Source organism: Homo sapiens, chromosome 2 (genome assembly GCF_000001405.40).
Source record: "Homo sapiens chromosome 2, GRCh38.p14 Primary Assembly".
Taxonomy (NCBI): domain Eukaryota; kingdom Metazoa; phylum Chordata; class Mammalia; order Primates; family Hominidae; genus Homo; species Homo sapiens.
Window position 1 is genome coordinate 148,690,206 of NC_000002.12, and position 18,628 is coordinate 148,708,833.

Here is an 18,628-nt window from a genome sequence, read left to right on the forward strand (position 1 = left end):
TTTTCCAGGAACATCATTTACAGCGAGCAATTTCAGCACAGCAAGTGTTTAGAGAAAAAAAAGAGAGTATGGTCATTCCTGTTCCTGAGGCAGAGAGCAACGTCAACTATTACAATCGCTTGTACAAAGGAGAGTTTAAACAGCCAAAACAGTTCATTCATATTCAGCGTAAGTTTGTTAATTCATTGTTTTCTGTTTGTACTTTAAATTTATCAACCAGTGGAAATCTTTTCTTTTGTCTAAAGAAATTCTGATTTTTTAATTCATACACACTGATTAATAGATATGTTAAACATTAAAGAATAAAATCCCTCTGTGCTTACATCTGAATTTGGAAATCATTTTGAGTTTTAAGTAACATTTGGAACATTTGATATTTATGTAGTATAGGATTTTGTATAGCACTTATACTTTATTACATAGCTAAAAGGTGGTGGATTACTATACCCAAATGAGATTTCCTTTTTTTTTTTCTTTGAGACAGAGTCTCTCTGTTACCCAGGCTGGAGTGCAGTGGCATGATCTTGGCTCACTGCAACCTCTGCCTTCTGGGTTTAAGTGATTCTCCTGCTTCAGCCTACTGAGTAGTTGGGATTACAGGCGTGTGCCACCACACCCAGCTGATGTTTGTATTTTTAGTAGAGATGGGATTTCGTCTTGTTGGCCAGGCCGGTCTCAAACTCCTGACCTCAGTTGATCCACCCACCTCGGCCTCCCAGAGTGCTGGGATTACAGGTGTGAGCTACCGCGCCCACCTGAGATTTACTTTTAAAGGTCCAGTGGCCCTAATGCCCAGGAGTAGTCTTCTGAAATTTTTCAGAATCAAATCTAATGCCTTTACTTTCATATAGTTTTTATTAAAGAATTCTGTGTAGTTCTGCCTCCTTAATACTCTTACTTTTCTCCCACTGTTAGTATTTAAATGATCACCACCTCTAGCGTGAAGACTTTTAACAATCTCCTGTTATATTTACTGTCCTGTATCTCCTGTCCCTATACTCTTCTAATCTAGCTTCTCTCCAAAAGAACTTCTAGAGTAGGATTTTTCAGCTGATTCCACAGACAGATGCTAGTGTCTTGTTATCTTGTCAGGTGTGTAAAAAAGAAATGTTGGATAGCTTGTTAAAATAGAGATCCCAAGGCTCAACATCCGGCCTAGCTGAAGTATCCACCTGTCTGACAACCTACCTGTATGAGAATCTCTGGGTGTGAAGTCTGGTGATTTGTATTTTTAAAGAGTTCCCTGTGTGATTCTGAAACATCACCAGCTTTAAGACTGACTATAAGATTGACTGCTTTTCATTGATTCTGAGATGCACTGTTTTCATCTTTGCAGTGAAATTGCATCTTAAATTGCTGTTGTTCAGGATTGAAGTCTTGTTCTTCTAAAGAGAATTTTCATTTGTTTCTGCCAGGCATTTGGGGACACTACCAACCGGAGACCACGTTAAAGTTTTTGCTTGTTTGTTTTGTTCATTTGTTTTTGGACCACAGTATTAGCTTTAATTTAGGCTGCAGATCTGCTCAAGGTTCAGTTCTCAGGAAGATTTTTTGCTTCTCCTTTCTACCTAAGGGCAAGTTGAGAAATACAAAATTCTTTGCTTTCCCTTTCTGCATGGCTAATTTATTTCTTTAATCTTACACTGAGGGCATAGCCCTTTGGTAATGTATCTTTATTCAGTAGCATTCTATACTAATATTAACACACAAGCATAAAGCTTTTTTCTTTCTTATGGTATATATAGTAATGTTGTGTCTTTTAATTGATGGCAGTTTAGATTTGATAGAATTCAATAATAGTCATATTCTCTAGTATGAATATTAGGTTCTTTGTAATTTGTTCCCGCTTTCTCCTTTAACGTCATTTATTTTTGCTCTTCCCTTCACTCTGTGTACCATAGGGACTACGAAAATTACCCTCATTCACCTTCTTTCATATTTAACATTTCCTTGGATGTGCTATTGAAGTCTTCTTTCCCTTCCTATAGCTCATTAAAGACTTAACTCCCTTATGAAAGCCACCTTGACTTTTCTCACTCTACCTGTCTTCTTTGCTTATCGTAGTATCTTTTACATACTTCTGTTAGAGGACTCACCATACTTTATTGCAATTATTTGTAACCATTCTTTCTCTCCTTTTAGACTGTGAGCTCCTTGAGGGCAGGAACTATATATTTTATTTTCTTTTGTGTTTTCAGAGTAAAGTGCTTGGTTTATAGATGCTCAATAAATGATGTGTTTGTCGACTGAATTGTTTTAAAATGGCTTTAAAAAGTCTTTTGGTGGTACAGCCATTTTCCACAGATTTCTTTTCTCTGAAATAGTCTAGAGAAACACACATGCGAAAATTATTTATGTATATTTTTTTCTCCTGTGTTCTTTGACTTTGAGTCCTATTAGCTTTTTGAATTTGCCTTTACCTTCTATCAGTCAGGAAGGAGATAACTATTCATAATAGAAATTTTAAGGATCTCTCTTAAGCCAAAGTATCAATTATTTTGTATTTTGATAATATTGCAGTTAGGCAGGAAGACCATTTGTAAAAACCATTCTAGGAAACCAAGAACTAAAAATCGGGTGTAACTCATGTGGGTCAGGCCCATCGAATACAATAAACATTATTCTTGTGTTGGTTTTTTTCATTTCATTTTATTCTATTATTGTAAAAAACAATAAAAATAATAGAAATTATTTTACCTTTCATTTTTTCTTTTAGCTTGTCAGCATATACTGCATACTATACAGTATCTTACTGCACATATGATATTTATTCTGCCTTTCTAGTCATATTTTAAGTTTCTCAGATTTTTATATGTAGTCATTTAAAATGCATATACCATTTTCCATCAGTTTGATATTTCACAATTTGCTTATTGGACTTAAGATTATCTGTACTAAATTTTAAACTCATTACTGATTTTTTCCAAGGAAGGTTAAAAAAAATTTTTTTTATGTAACTTTTTGCTAAGCCTTTAAGGAGTTTCAGAAAATTTCACTCTGGATTTTTCCTTTTCTTCTTTTAATGATAGATTAGAGAGAATCCCCATTCACTTGGCTAGAAAAAAAACATTGTAAAGTTGCCACAGTAGGATGGCCTTGTTCAGGTTCATCACATACTTGCCTGGGCTTTGGCAGAAGCCTCCTTCTTGCCCTAGTCTTTATACCTTCCAATCCATCATCCACTGCCACTGTTGTAATTACTATCCATTTCAAAATTTTCAGTGACTGTCTGTTGACTATAGGATAAAATTTTTAACATCTTTGTGTGATGTATAAGGCACTCCTTTGTGCCTGTCTAGCCATGTTTCCCTATGTGTTCTTCCACTATGACACCAACCTTATTGAAATGAACTGTTTGAGGGTCTTTTTCTTCCTCTACACTGTAACCTCCTCGCGATCAGGGGCTCCATCTTATGGTACTTTAGAATTTTTATTACCTAGTACAGTCCCAGAGTGTAGTCTCAGTACACTTTTCCTTCCTAATTTCTTTAACCCATCATGCTTCAAGCTACACTAATAATGAGATCTTTGTAGCTCTTTGAGTTATGCCTTATTTTGTTATGTCTTCACATAGCCTTTTACTTCTCAACTTGTTAAAATACAACTTGCCTCCAGGATTACCTTTAGGAGCCTTTTTCTGACGTCTCTCAGCATTGTTCTTGGTACTGTTTGCCCCACCCCTCCTGTGTCCAGTGCGTACTTTCGTTGTGGCACTGACCACCTTCAGTTGTGATTGTTTGCCCTCTGTTGGGCAGAGTTTATTGAGAGAAGGGACTTTTTTTTCTTTGAATTTCACTGCCTAGTACAGTACTTATAGCATGTGGTTAGGTGTGCAGTTAAATATTTGCTGAATAAATAAATGAGTGAAAGAATTAATGAAATTAAAAGCATATACTCCATGGCATTTTCGAGCCATCAGTATTTGTTGGACTAAAAATTGTACACAGAATCAAATATAAGGCTAAAATTATTAGTGCATACAGTGAAATTGAGCAACCCGCTGTGTTAGAAATTAAAAGGTGAGTTCTGTTATTCACCAACTGTTAATTTAGCCCAAAAAGTGCCGAGAAGGAGTTGGGAGTGGACTCCAATCTGTTATGAAAGTGAGACAAACATTCTTGTTCCTTCTGATCCCTTTCAGTAGCAGTTCTTCATAGTCACCCTTAATCAGCTTTATGCAGAATTTATTGAATCATAACACATTGAGCTGTCTTTACCAGGTGGGAAGCATCCTGAAGGCACAAAGTCTTTGATGACCTAAGATAGTAAAACACTTCAGTTGTGTGCCACATGCAGAAAAAAACACTACCTACTTTCATTAAGTTACATTTACTTTGGGTTCCTCAACCCAAATGTTATAATTTTCATTCCTCTTGGAGTTCAATAATTTTATTAAATTCAGTACCCAAACTTTTCTCTTTAAGGAAACAACTTTGTTTACATTTCAATAGTATCTTTATTTGATCTCCTATTACCTGTTTTATTTAATATGATAACATTTTACAGTTGATACTAAATATCTTGGAATTGTAGAACACGAAGGAACTTAACATTCTCCTCCCCCCGCCCAAACCCTGGTGACGGAATCTTGCTCTGTTGCCCAGGCTGGAGTGCAGTGGTGCAATATCTGCTCACCACAACCTTCCTCACCGCCCCCACCAGGTTTAAGCAATTCCTCTGCCTCAGCCTCCAGAGTAGCTGGGATCACGGGTGCGTGCCACCACGCCCGGCTAATTTTTGTATTTTTAGTAGAGATAGGGTTTCACCATGTTGGCCAGGCTTATCTTGGACTCCTGGCCTCATGATCCGTGATCTGCCCACCTTGGCCTCCTAAAGTGTTGGGATTACAGGCGTGAGCCATCGCACCAGCCTGACATTGTTTCTTAAGTATTCTGAAGTTAATTTGTATCCAGTTTTGAACTCAGTTAAATAGTTCTTGGTAGCAGGACTCTCTTTTCTTATTTTGAAATGAAAGTTTACTTCCCCCATCTCATTCCCTTAGTCTTACAAACATAGAACAGTAGACGGTCCTGACTGAAAGAAGAGTTCAGGAGAAAGGATAGGTGGAGTAATAACTTGTCATCTGTCAGGCAGAGAGAGGAATGCACTCAAAGGGAATTGAAATGTACCGTTTGTGTCTGCTTCCAAGATTTTAAGCCCTAGCAAAATGCCTGTGTGTGGACACTGCTGTACACTTCTGTACAACTTGAAGCTGACTCCTCAGACTGATAAAGCTGACTGTTGTCAAGTCTACATTGGAAAAGAGAAAAAGTTACACTTACCAACATAAAGTGGACCTGTGTATACCACTAGGTTTTTCAGCATGGTTAAAATAGATGCTGGCCTGACATCCAACTTCAGTCTCATTATCCTTGGAAATGTCTTTTGATATTCTCTGCATTATGCAAAAAATGATAATTGACCTGTTCTTTCAGGGCAAACATATTTTGATTGGAAAGAGTTGGGGAGGATTCAGAACAAATGAAGAGCATTGTTTTGTTTATACAGTAAGACTTATTGGTAGAAAGGATGCATTCCAGGAACATCATTTTCTTGTAAAAAAAATACTATTGGATGTGTATTAAGAAATTGGACATAAATTCTGTGAAAGGACATCACATATTCAAATAAATAAAGACTGGTAAAACAATGCCATGGGTACAGAAGCAGATTTTGTCAGATTTGTGGAGAACACATTACAGGTGAAGCTGGATCTCAATTTCAGGTGATTAGAAGGGACAGGGAATAAGGCCAGCCCCTGAGGGCAACCCACATTCAGATCAGCTAGCTCTAAGGATATTCCTCTCTCCTCAGATTGTGCACTAGCTGCAACCGTGTCCTATTCTTGGGCAAAGCTGTGAGTGTGGACATGGGCTGAAATGGTAGAGTTGTATCTGGGTAGGTACTAATCCAGGAAGGAGGAGAAGCCTCCAAACCTAGAAGATAATAGATATGAAAGGAGGCCAGGCACAGTGGCTCACACCTGTTATCCCAGCACTTTGGGAGGCCAGTGTGGGAGGATCACTTGAGTCCAGAAGTTGAAAACTAGTTTGGACAACACAGTGAGACCTTGTCACTACAGGAGAAAAAAAAGGTAATGCCAGACATTGTGTGAAAAGCAAACTAATCATTGGGTAGTCTGAGATAAATGAAAGAGAAGCCTGAGTTTAAAGGAGAACGCCCCTTCAGGCTATGTGCATTTATTTATGTCCACTTTTCAAAAAAGAAAAAAAGGCATTTGCAGTGACTTAGAGTAAAATACAATGCAATAAATTAAAGACCATGGTTAAAGAAATCAGGGAGAGAATAAAGACACTATAATAAGGTAAATTTGATGTATAGTGGCACATATTTTAGCCATGATGTGATTACAAAATATAAAAGCAGTATTGGTCATAAAGGGTGCATGATTCTTGGTCTTCAAGCATTTTGAACCCTCCTATGGGGCCTCCCAAAGAAGATACCCTGAGGTAACTCAGCAGAACTGATTGTGTTAGGAGGAGTTACCAAAGATAGGCCTTCAGCATATTCACCTAGCAACTAATATCTCCATAAATGATTCTCCAATGATGCCACACTCCCCTGAGAGCACCTTACAGCATCTTGTTTCCCCTACCTTAAGAGACTAAAGGAAATTTGCCTTCTCATCTTACTCAGTAACATAATTCCATGGGCTGTCTACCTACAAAAATATTTTCTCATATGTTTATTTCTTGAAAATTTTAAAGAAGTCTAAACTTTTCCTTCCACAGTTATGGGTAAAAGATAGTAAAATAACATTTACTGACCTCTGTATTTACATCCTGTTATGGTTTGCATACATTTTTTGTATGCTAAGCCAATTATTGCTCAAAGGAGCCTTCTGGACAGATAATGTATTTCTCCCATTTTAAACCTAAGATTAAAGAGCCCAGGGTGATGCAGCTAGCAAGTAGTAGAGTCAGAATTCTAATCCAGGCCATCTGGCTCCAGAGTGTGCCTGTTTAACTGTTTTATACTGCCTCTTAGTCATGGTTCATCATTACAAGTTGCAAATATTTCTACACTTTAAACGTAGAAATTCATTACCATTCAAAGGGGGTTGGTAATAGAATCAGTAATGGATTCTTTTTTTTTTTTCAATGGATAAATTGCAGGGTAGAGGCAGGTTGCTTGCTGATAGAAAAGGCAGACGTGTATAACTGTGATGATGCACTGTTCTCATTTGGCCTGGCAGAAGATTAATGAATGGAAGAGCACTATGAATGGGTCAGAGAAGAGGTGCCAAAGGGAGAAACTTGAAGAAAAGGGAACCATGAGAGTAATACAAGCACACACTTCATATTTTACTGTATTGCCTAGAGTAGTGAGGAGCTCTACTGAAAGGGAGTGAATTTTAGCTTTTGGGAAAGCCTAAGATTCAACTTTTAAAAGGGCCTTTTGAGTTTTATAAATCAAAGACATTAGAGGGAGAACCACTAGGGCAGCAATACAAGCTGATCCTTAAGTGCTTCCATTCAAACACATGCATGCATGTGTGCACGCATACACTAGAAGAACACAAAATAAAAGGGTCAGCCAGGACCTTTGGGTTTTAGGGATTAACTCAGCAGAGCTAGAGAACCCATTCTAGTGCCTTTGGGTATACTGGTTTGCTGCAAGTCCAACCTATCTTTGAAAATAATTCCACAATTTGAATAAAGAGAGGCCCAAATTGGGAAAGGGTGTGTGGCAGTTATTGATTTCTAAGCCTCCAACTAAGCACTGTGCCTGACAAAAAATAAGATTTGCTTTCAATGAAATTGGACCACGTAGGACCTCAGTCAAGTGGGCTTTATTTTCTCTATATGTTAACAAACAAAAAAAAAAAGGTTACTGTACCTTTCATGGTTTTAGAGGAGGCTAAAGTAGATAGCAAGTGATGTAAAGAATGAGAGAATGAAAAGGCAGCCTCTATGATGATGATGTTGCTTTTTAAATGAGATGATTTAGTATTAAAAGAATTGTTTCCTCACTAACATTGTTCTTATTAAGAAACTGAAGTTGTTGTAAATACGCAATCTTCCCTCCATGGAGTTCAGTAAAGCCACCTCCCTGCCCCACCGCCCCCTCTAAAATTGGACCTTGTTTGAAAAAGTTTTCTCATTACTGGCTTAAGAATCTCCTGTTTTGGCTGGGCGCAGTGGCTCGTGCCTGTAATCCCAGCACTTTGGGAGGCTGAGGCGGGTGGATCACGAGGTCAGGAGTTCAAGACCAGCCTGGCCAAGATGGTGAAACCCTATCTCTACTAAAAATACAAAAATTAGCCCGGTGTGGTGGTGCACGCCTGTAATCCCAGCTACTCCGGAGGCTGAGGCAGAAGAATTGCTTGAACCTGGGAGGTGGAGGTTTCAGTGAGCCGAGATCGTGCCATTGCACTCCAGCCTGGGTGACAGCGAGACTCCATCTCAAAAAAAAAAAAAAAAAAAAAAAAATCTCCTGTTTCTCTGATAGAAACTAAGAAAGTAAGCTTTTTTTTTTTTTTTTTTGAGAAGCTGATTTTCATGTTCTGATTATAATGAAAAGTAAAATGTTAATTGTGGAAAAAAATAATAATTCTGTCTCTCCAAGATAATTAACCCAGATAAAAGTTGTATTTTCTTCCCTTTTTTTTTTTTAAAAAAAAAGCATTATACTCTGTGTATGTGTGTATGTGTTTGTGGCTTTCGCTTTTTCACTGACTGTCATAGAGTAAGCATTTTTCCATTGTAATCAAATAATTTTAATAGTCTTTGGAAGCTGTAAATTATTACAAGGAATTAGTTTTATATCCTTCCGTAGTCAGCAGGGATCTATAAGAGGGCCAGTAATGAAGGTTTTTGTTTCTACCTTAATTATTGAGAAGTTTTAGACCCAGATTATTAGTAAACTAGTAATTTGAATTAGTGAAATATGAATTTGTATGTCAAGGAAAAATAAGATTTTAGGCTTTTTAAAAAACAAATAAACTATATTTTAAAACACGATTTTAGATTTACAAAAAAGCCAATAACAAAATTTTCATGTGCTACCCCTACACACTTTCTCCTACTATTAGTATCTTGTATTAGTCAGTACATTTCTTACAGCTAATGATGTTATTAAAGTTCATAGTTACAGTTTGCTCTTTGTATTGTACAGTTTTATGGATTTTGAAAAATGCGTAACATGGATCCATGATTACAGTATCCTACAGAATAGTTTCATCACTCTAAAAACTCCCTGAACTTCGCTGGTACATTCTTCCAAATCCCAGGCAACCACTGATCTTTTTGTTGTCTCTTTAGTTTTGCCTTTCCCAGAATGTCAAATAGTTGGAATTATATAATACATAGCCTTTTCAGATTCTCTCATGTCTTTTTGTTGCTTGATAGCTCATTTCTTTTTATCATTGAATAATGTTTTATTATATGGCTATATCACAGTTTATCCATTCACCTATTAAAAGACATCTTGATTGCTTCCAGTTTCACAGCTATAAATAAAACTGCTCTAAACATTTGTATGTAGGTTTTTGTGTGGCTGTGAGTTTTCAGCTCAATTGGGTATATACTTAGGAGTGCAATTGCTGTAAACATGTTTAGTTTTATAAGAAGCTGCCAAACTGCATGCCAAAGTGGCTGTACCATTTTGCATTCCCACTGACAGTGAATGAAAGTTTCTATTGCCCCGCATCCTTATCATCGTTTGGTTTTGGGTCAGTTTTTGGATTTTAGCCATTTTACTAGGTGTGAGATGGTATGTCACTGTTGTAATTTGCCGTTCCCTGATAACATAAGATGTTGATCACCTTTTTGTTTGATTGACATTATTTATATATCTTCTTTAGTGTGGTGTCTGTTCAGATCTTTTGCCCATTTCTTTATTGGATTGCTTGTTTTATTGTTGAGTTTTAAGTGTTCTTTATATATTTTAGATACGTGTCCTGTAGAGATATGTATTTTGCATATCTTCTTCCTCTCTGTGCCTTGTCTTTTCATTCACTAACAGTGTCTTTCACAGAGTGAAAGTTTTTAATTTTAATGAAGTCCAGCTTAACAATTTTTTTACTTTCATGAATTATGTGTTTGGTATTATTTCTAAAAGCTCATCATCAAACCCAAGGTCCCTGAGATTTTCTCCAGTGTTATTTTCTAAAAGTTTTGTAGACTGCATTTTATATGTAGATCTGTGATCCATTTTGAGTTAATTTTTGTGAAGGGTATAAGTTCTATATCTAGATTCATTTTTTTTCATATGGGATGTCACCGTTCTAGCACTCGTTGTTGGAAAGACTCCCCCCCTCCCCCCCGCCCCGCATTGAATTGCCTTTGCTCCTTTGTCAAAGATCTTTTGTCAAAAACTATATTTGTATGGATCTGTATCTGGGCTCTATTCTGTTCCATTGATCTACTTGTTTACTCTTTTGTCAAATTCTTGCTGTTTTGTTTATAATAGCTTCAGAGTAAGTCTTGGAGTCAAGTAATGTCAGTCCTCTGCCCTTTTTACTTTTTTTTTTTTTTTAGCACCAGTTGCTCTGAACCTAAGTCCTCTGCCTTTTTTCTTCTTTACTCTTGTATTGGCTCTTTGGGGGCACTTGTCTTTCTATATGAACTAGAATCTATTCATCATTGTAACAAAATAACTTACTGGGATTTTTACTGAGACGTTGTTGAATCTGTATCACATTTGAGAAGAATTGACATAATAGTGTCTTCCTGTCCATGAACATGGAATATCTCTGCATTTTTTTATTTCTTTCATCAGACTTTTGCGATTTTCCTCATATAGATCCTCTGCATGTTTTGTTAGATTGATACTTAAGTGTCTTTTTTTGTTGTTGTTCTAATGTAAATGGTGTTGTTCCTTAATTTCAAATACCGAGTGTTCATTTTTGGTCTGTAGGAAAGCAACTGACTTTTGTATATTAACTTTGTATGCTACAGACTTACTATGCTCTAATTAGTTCCAGGATATTTTTAGTCAATTCTTTGGAATTTTCTACATAGACAGTCTTGTCATCTGTAAGCAAAGACAGTTTCATTTCGTCCTAATCTGTATACTTTTTATTTCCTTTTCTTGTCTTATTGCATTAGCCAGGACTTCCAGGATGATGTTGCATAGAAGTGGTGAGAAGGAACATCCTTGCCTTGTTCTTGATCTTAGTAGGAAAGCGTCTGGTTTCTTACACTTGTGATATTAACTGTAGGTTTTCTGTAAAAGTTCTTTATCAAGTTGAAGAAATTCTCCTCTATTCTTAGTTTGCTGAGAGTTTTATCATGAAAGAGGGTTAGATTTTGTCAAATGCTTTTTCTACATCTATTGATATGCTCATGTGATTTTTCTTCTTTAGTCGATGAAGTGGATTAAATTAATTGATTTAGCATGCTGAACAAATCCCACTTGGTCTTGGTGTATAATTTTTATATGTTGGATTCAGCTTGCTATAATAATACTTTGTTGAGAATTTTTGCATGTATGTTCATGAGAGCTATTCGTCTGTCATTTTCCTTTCTTGTAATATCTTTTTCTGCTTTAGGATTGGGGTGATGCTGACCTCATAGAATGAGTTAGGAAGTGTTTTCTCTGCTTCTGTTTTCTGGGAGTGATGAGAGAGATTGATAAAATTTCTTTCCTAAATGTTTGGTAGAATTTATCAGTGAACTCATCTGGGACTGGTGTTTTTTGGGAGGTTTTTTGATTTGACTCTACTTATTATAGATCTATATAGATTTTCTGTTTCTTCTTTAGTCAGTTTTAGTAGTTTGTGTTTTTGTCCATTTTCTGTAAGTTGTCAATTTATGGCCATATAGTTGTTCTGTGCTTATCATAATATACTTTTATTATTGTTTTAATGTCTGTTGGATGAGTAGTGATGACCACTATTTCATTTTTGACATTAGTCATTTGTCTTCTTTTTTTTTTCTTAGAGATTATTCAGTGTTACTGATCTTTTCAGAAGTCAGGTGGCTTGTTTTTGTAAACTGATTTCTTATCATTTTAGAAACTTGAAAGCTGTAAAAAGGATTTTATGTTTTGGTAAGCTTTATTTGTCATTTCAGCAACAAAACAGAAAATCAAAATCTTGTGTTGTTAAATTTACCTAATGTAAAAATAGCTTTTTCTGGGGATTAGGAGATGATGAAAATTTGCCTTTTTCTCTCTCTGTTTCATTTTCCCTCACAAATATTCATAGATTAGAGGAATTTCAAAGCCAGTATAAACCTTAGAAATTGTTCAGTGTAACCCCTGCTGTGATTCTCAAACCCAGAATTAAGAGGTTCTGCAGGGCTTCCCCAGCTCTGAGGGCTAATGAAAGAGCATCTCTGGAATTGGGCACCAGGAATCTGAACTTCTAACAAATTCTTCACTATTGTTTCTTTTGGGCATATACCCAGAAGTGGATTTTTAACCAGCCTAGTCTCCTGCAGTGAGAACTGTTATATAGAAGATGACTCAATACTGTGATTTCAGAAATTGGTAACAAGAGGCAAGGACATTAAATGACTTGTATAAGGGACCACACCTGTTGAATGAAAGCAATGAGATGAAGCCCTAAGTCAGGCTTGTTTAATTTGTGGCCCAGGACAGCTTTGAATGCAGTCCAACCCAATTCGTAAACTTTCTTAAAACACTATGAGATTTTTTTTTTTTGCCATTTTTTCTTTAAGCTCATCAGGCTATCATTAGTGTATTTTATTGGTGGCCCAAGACAATTCTTCTTCTTCCAGTGTGGCACAGGGAAGCCAAAAGATTGGACACCTCTGCCCTAAGTCCTTTGACTGCTTGAAGTCTTCCCACTGTATCATACTTCCTGATATTAAGCATTTAATGGTGCAGAGCACTATGGGTGATACATGTGTTAAACACAGTCTGTTTTTAAGGAACTTAAAATACAGGATTTTATTTGTTCATCTTAAGGCAGCCATGCATTATCTCAAAATGAATAAAATGTGTTTGGTATTTTTTTTCCTTGTTGTCCATTTTAGAGTATTTTTGGTAGTCTGTTAATTGTGAACCTTCAATGCATCCTTAAGTTTTAATTATTAGCCATTAATCCTTACTCAGAGGAAAGCTTCTGTCCTATTTTTTCCTAAGCTACATGTTTTCTTCCATTTCTGTCAGTTTATTAGATTATAGTGCAGTTTTTTTTTAAAAAGTATGTTCTGGGGAGCTTTAGTCACCTTGATACTCCTTGGGATGGTGAAGTCAGTTTTTAAAGCCTGTTTTTAGTTATATTGTATCAGAATCACCTGTTTGGTTTTTTTTTGTTCTAAAGGAAACAAAAAACGTTTCAGGATCCTTTTCTTTGGGAGTGAGGCCTGAAAAATGAGGGTTTTTGTTCTTTTGTTAGTAGTAGTATTTGAGACAGGGTCTCACTGTGTTGCTCAGGCTGGAGTACAGTGGTGTGATCATGGTTCACTGCAGCTTTGACCTCCCAGGCTCTAGCACTTCTCCCACCTCAACCTCCTGAGTAGCTGGGACTACAGCTGTGCACCACTATGCCTGGCTAATTTTATTTTAATGCTTTTAGACACAGGATCTCACTTTATTGCCCATGCTGGTCTCAAACACCTTGGCTCAAGCAGTCCTCCTGCCTTGGACCCCCAAAGTGTTGGGATTACAGGTATGAGCCACTGAATCCATTAAAAAATCAGTTTTAAAAACATGCATTATACCACCTCATACCCTTTAGAATGGCTACTATCAAAAACAGAAAATAACAAGTGTTAGCAAGGATGTGGTGAATTGGAACTCTTGTGGACTGTTGGGAATGTAAAATGGTGTAGCCACTGTGGAAAACAGTATGATCGTCCCTCAGAAAATTGAAGATAGACTTACCATGTGGTCCAGCAATTCCATTTCTGTGTATATACTCAGACAAATGAAGGTCTCAAAGAGATATTTGTGTACCCATGTTCATAGCAGCATTATTCACAAAAGCTAAAACATGGAATTAATACAGGTATTCATCACTGGATGAATGGGTAAGCAAAATGTGGCGTGTACTTAGAATGAATATTATTGAGCCTTAAAAAGGAAGGCAGTGACACATGGTTACAATATGGATGAAACCTGAGACATTGGCCAAGTGAAATAAGTCATTATCTGAGGTACTTAGAGTAATCAGAATCATAGAGACAGACAGTAGAATGGTGGTTGCTAGGGACTGGGGAGAGGGAGAAATGGGGAGTTATTGTTTAATAGGTACAGAGTTTTAGTTTTACAAGATGAAAAGCATTAGGGAGACAGATAGTGGTGATTATGCAACATTATGAATGTATTTAATACCACTGAACTGCACACTTATAAACAGTTGAGGGTACTTTTATGCTATATGTATTTCAACACAATAAAAAATGAAAAAGGAAAAACATGCATTGTAGGTATATACTCAGATTTGAGAATCCCTGTTCTTGATGAGTCACAGTGAGTATCAAGTGGCATGTCCCCAAACTAATTGATAAAGAACTCAACATTTTTACTTATTTAGCCTCTGAATCCTTACCCTATATTCCCAACTTTCTTTGTAAGTGGTGTTCTTTTGTCCCTTTCAGGAACTGGAACAACAACAGGGATATAACTTAGCCCAGAGTTGGAGGCAAATTAGCTTTGCATATTGTGGCCACGGAAAGCCTTACACTTCTAACCTGGGCCATAGGCTCCCAGCTATGTCCTGGTGACATTAGGGATTTTTAATGTGTATCTTTTTTCTTTTTCTTTTTCTTTTTTTTTTTTCTAATTTTGTTTGAGTGTTTTTATTTTTAAGGCAAAGGAATGAATAGTACGGGGAACCCAATGTATCTGTCAGCAAACCATCAGCTTCATATTTTATTTATTCCTCACACTTTTTGTGTTAATATATTTTAAAACAAATCCCAGACACTATTTCACCCATAAATATTTCATTGTTTATCTTTCAAAGAAAAGGACTTGTGTCTTTTTCCCGGCATAACCACAGTACCATTATAACCAAATTAATAATAATTCCTTGATAGCACCTAATTTATATGAACTGGCCAAACAGTACATCTGGCCTTAGGGCTGTCTATAGATTCTAACTCTTAAGTAAGATGTTATGTTTTATGTATTTACTACTGCACAGTTATCATTTTAAAAAAAAAACTCTTACTTTCCCTACTAACAGTAGTTGAGTGATGATAAGTTTTAGAATATAAAATTCACGGTTCCAAGATGGCTGAATAGGAACAGCTCTGGTCTGCACCTCCCAGCGTGATTGATGCAGAAGATGGGTGATTTCTGCATTTCCAACTGAGCTCTGAAGAGAGCAGTGGCTCTCCCAGCACGGTGTTTGAGCTCTGAGAATGGACAGACCACCTCCTCAAGTGGGTCCCTGACCCCTGTGCAGCCTAACTTGGAGACACCTCCCAGTAGGGGCCGACTGACACCTCATACAACTGGGTGCCCCTGAGATGAAGCTTCCAGAGGAAGGATTAGGCAGCAATATTTGTTGTTCTGCAATATTTGCTGTTCTGCAGCCTCTGCTGGTGATACCCAAGCAAACGGTCTGGAGTGGACCTCCAGCAAACTCCAACAGACCTGCAGCTGAGGGACCTGACTGTTAGAAGGAAAACTAACAAACAAAAAGGAACAGCATCAACATCAACCAAAAGGACATCCACACCAAAACCTCATCTGTAGGTCACCATCATCAAAGACCAAAGGTAGATAAAACCACAAAGATGGGGAGAAACCAGAGCAGAAAAGCTGAAAATTCTAAAAACCAGAGCGCCCCTTCTCCTCCAAAGGATCACAGCTCCTCACCAGCAACGGAACAAAGCTGGACGGAGAATGACTTTGACAAATTGACAGAAGTAGGCTTCAGAAAGTCGGTAATAACAAACTTCCTCAAGCTAAAGGAAGATGTTTGAACCCAACGCAAGGAAGCTAAAAACCTTGAAAAATGATTAGACGAATGGCTAACTAGAATAAACAGTGTAGAGAAGACCTTAAATGACCTGATGGAGCTGAAAACCATGGCACGAGAGCTTCGTGATGCATTCATAAGCTTCAGTAGCCGATTCAATCAAGTGGAAGAAAGGGTATCAGTCATTGAAGATCAAATGAATGAAATGAAGCAAGAAGTTTAGAGAAAAAAGAGTAAAAAGAAATGAATAAAGCCTCCAAGAAATATGGGACTATGTAAAAACACCAAATCTACCTGTGATTGGTGTACCTGAAAGTGGCGGGGAGAATGGAACCAAGCTGGAAAACACTCTTCAGGATATTATCCAGGAGAACTTCCCCAACCTAGCAAGGCAGGCCAACATTCAAATTCAGGAAATACAGAGAACACCACAAAGATACTCATCGAGAAGAGCAACCCCAAGACACATAATTGTCAGATTCACCAAGGTTGAAATGAAGGAAAAAATGCTAAGGGTAGCCAGAGAGAAAGGTCGGGTTACTCACAAAGAGAAGCCTATCAGACTAACAGCGGATCTCTCGGCAGAAATCCTACAAGCCAGAAGAGAGTGGGGGCCAATATTCAACATTCTTAAAGAACAGAATTTCCAACCCAGAATTTCATATCCAGCCAAACTAAGCTTCATAAGTGAAGGAGAAATAAAATCATTTATAGACAAACAAATGCTGAGAGATTTTTGTCACCACCAGGCTTGCCGTACAAGAGCTCCTGAAGGAAGCACTAAACATGGAAAGGAACAACCGGTATCAGCCACTGCAAAAACATGCCAAATTGTAAAGACCATCGATGCTAGGAAGACACTGCATCAACTAATGGGCAAAATAACTAGCTAACATCATAATGACAGGATCAGATTCACACATATCAATATTAACCTTAAATGTAAATGGGTTAAATGCCCCAATTAAAAGACACAGACTGGAAATTGGATAAAGAGTCAAGACCCATCAGTGTGCTGTATTCAGGAGACCCATCTCACGTGCAGAGACACACATAGGCTCAAAATAAAGGGATGGAGGAAGATCTACCAAGCAAATGGAAAACAAAAAGAGGCAGGGGTTGCAATCCTAGTCTCCGATAAAACAGACTTCATACCAACAAAGATCAAAAGAGATAAAGAAGGCCATTACATAATGGTAAAGGGATCAATTCAACAAGAAGAGCTAACTATCCTAAATATAAATGCACCCAATACAGGAGCACCCAGGTTCATAAAGCAAGTCCTGAGAGACCTAAAAAGCGACTTAGACTCCCACACAATAATAATGGGAGACTTTAACACCCCACTGTCAACATTAGACAAATCAACAAGACAGAAGGTTAACAAGGATATCCAGAACTTGAACTCAGCTCTGCAACAAGCAGACCTAATAGACATCTACGGAACTCTCCACCCCAAATCAACAGAATATACATTCTTCTCAGCACCACATCACACTTATTCCAAAATTGACCATGTAGTTGGAAGTAAAGCATTCCTCAGCAAATGTAAAAGAACAGAAATCACAACAAACTGTCTCTCACACCACAGTGCAATCAAATTAGAACTCAGGATTAAGAAACTCACTCAAAACTGCTCAACTAGATGGAAACTGAACAACCTGCTCCTGAATGACTACTGGGTACATAACAAAATGAAGGCAGAAATAAAGATGTTCTTTGAAACCAATGAGAACAAAGACACAACATACCGGAATCTCTGGGACACATTTAAAGCAGTGTGTGAGGGAAATTTGTAGCGCTAAACACCCACAAGAGAAAGCAGGAAAGATCTAAAATTGACACCCTAACATCACAATTAAAAGAACTAGAGAAGCAAGAGCAAACACATTCAAAAGCTAGCAGAAGGCAAGAAATAACTTAAGATCAGAGCAGAACTGAAGGAGATAGAGACACAAAAATCCCTTCAAAAAATCAGTGAATCCAGGAGTTGGTCTTTTGAAAAGATCAACAAAATTGATAGACCGGTAGCAAGACTAATAAAGAAGAGAGAAGAATCAAATAGATGCAGTAAAAAATGATAAAAGGGATATCACCACCTGCCCTACGGAAGTACAGACTACCATCAGAGAATACTATAAACCCCTCTACACAAATAAACTAGAAAATCTAGAAGAAATTGACAAATTCCTCGACACATACACCCTCCCAAGACTAAACCAGGAAGAAGTTGAATCGCTGAATAGACCAATAACAGGCTCTGAAATTGAAGCAATAATTAATAGCCTACCAACCAAAAAAAGTCCATGACCAGACGGATTCACGGCTGAATTCTACCAGAGGTATGAAGAGGAGCTGGTACCATTCCTTCTGAAACTCTTCCAATCAATAGGAAAAGAGGGAATCCTCTCTAACTCATTTTATGAGGCCAGCATCATCCTGATACCAAAGCCTGGCAGAGACACAACAAAAAAGGAGAATTTTAGACCAATATCCCTGATGAACATTGATGTGAAAATCCTCAATAAAATACTGGCAAACTGAATTGAGAGGCACATCAAAAAGCTTATCCACCAATATCAAGTTGGCTTCATCCCTGGGATGCAAGGCTGGTTCAACATATGCAAATCAATAAACGTAATCCATCCTGTAAAGAGAACCAAACACAAAAACCACGTGATTATCTCAGTAGATGCAGAAAAGGCCTTTGACAAAATTCAGCATCCCTTCATGCTAAAAACTCTCAATAAACTAGGCATTGAT

General features: G+C 37.4%; 1 protein-coding gene across 2 annotated transcripts in view; it reads left to right on the top strand.

The window, feature by feature from the left end:
* EPC2 (enhancer of polycomb 2) overlaps nt 1–18,628 on the top strand; it is a 142,819-nt gene that overhangs the window by 45,455 nt on the left and 78,736 nt on the right. For both annotated transcript variants that reach the window (NM_015630.4, XM_011510941.3), the window contains exon 2: nt 9–168. In NM_015630.4, the coding sequence (NP_056445.3) occupies nt 9–168 (160 nt within the window). The remainder of the gene's footprint in view (nt 1–8; nt 169–18,628) is intronic.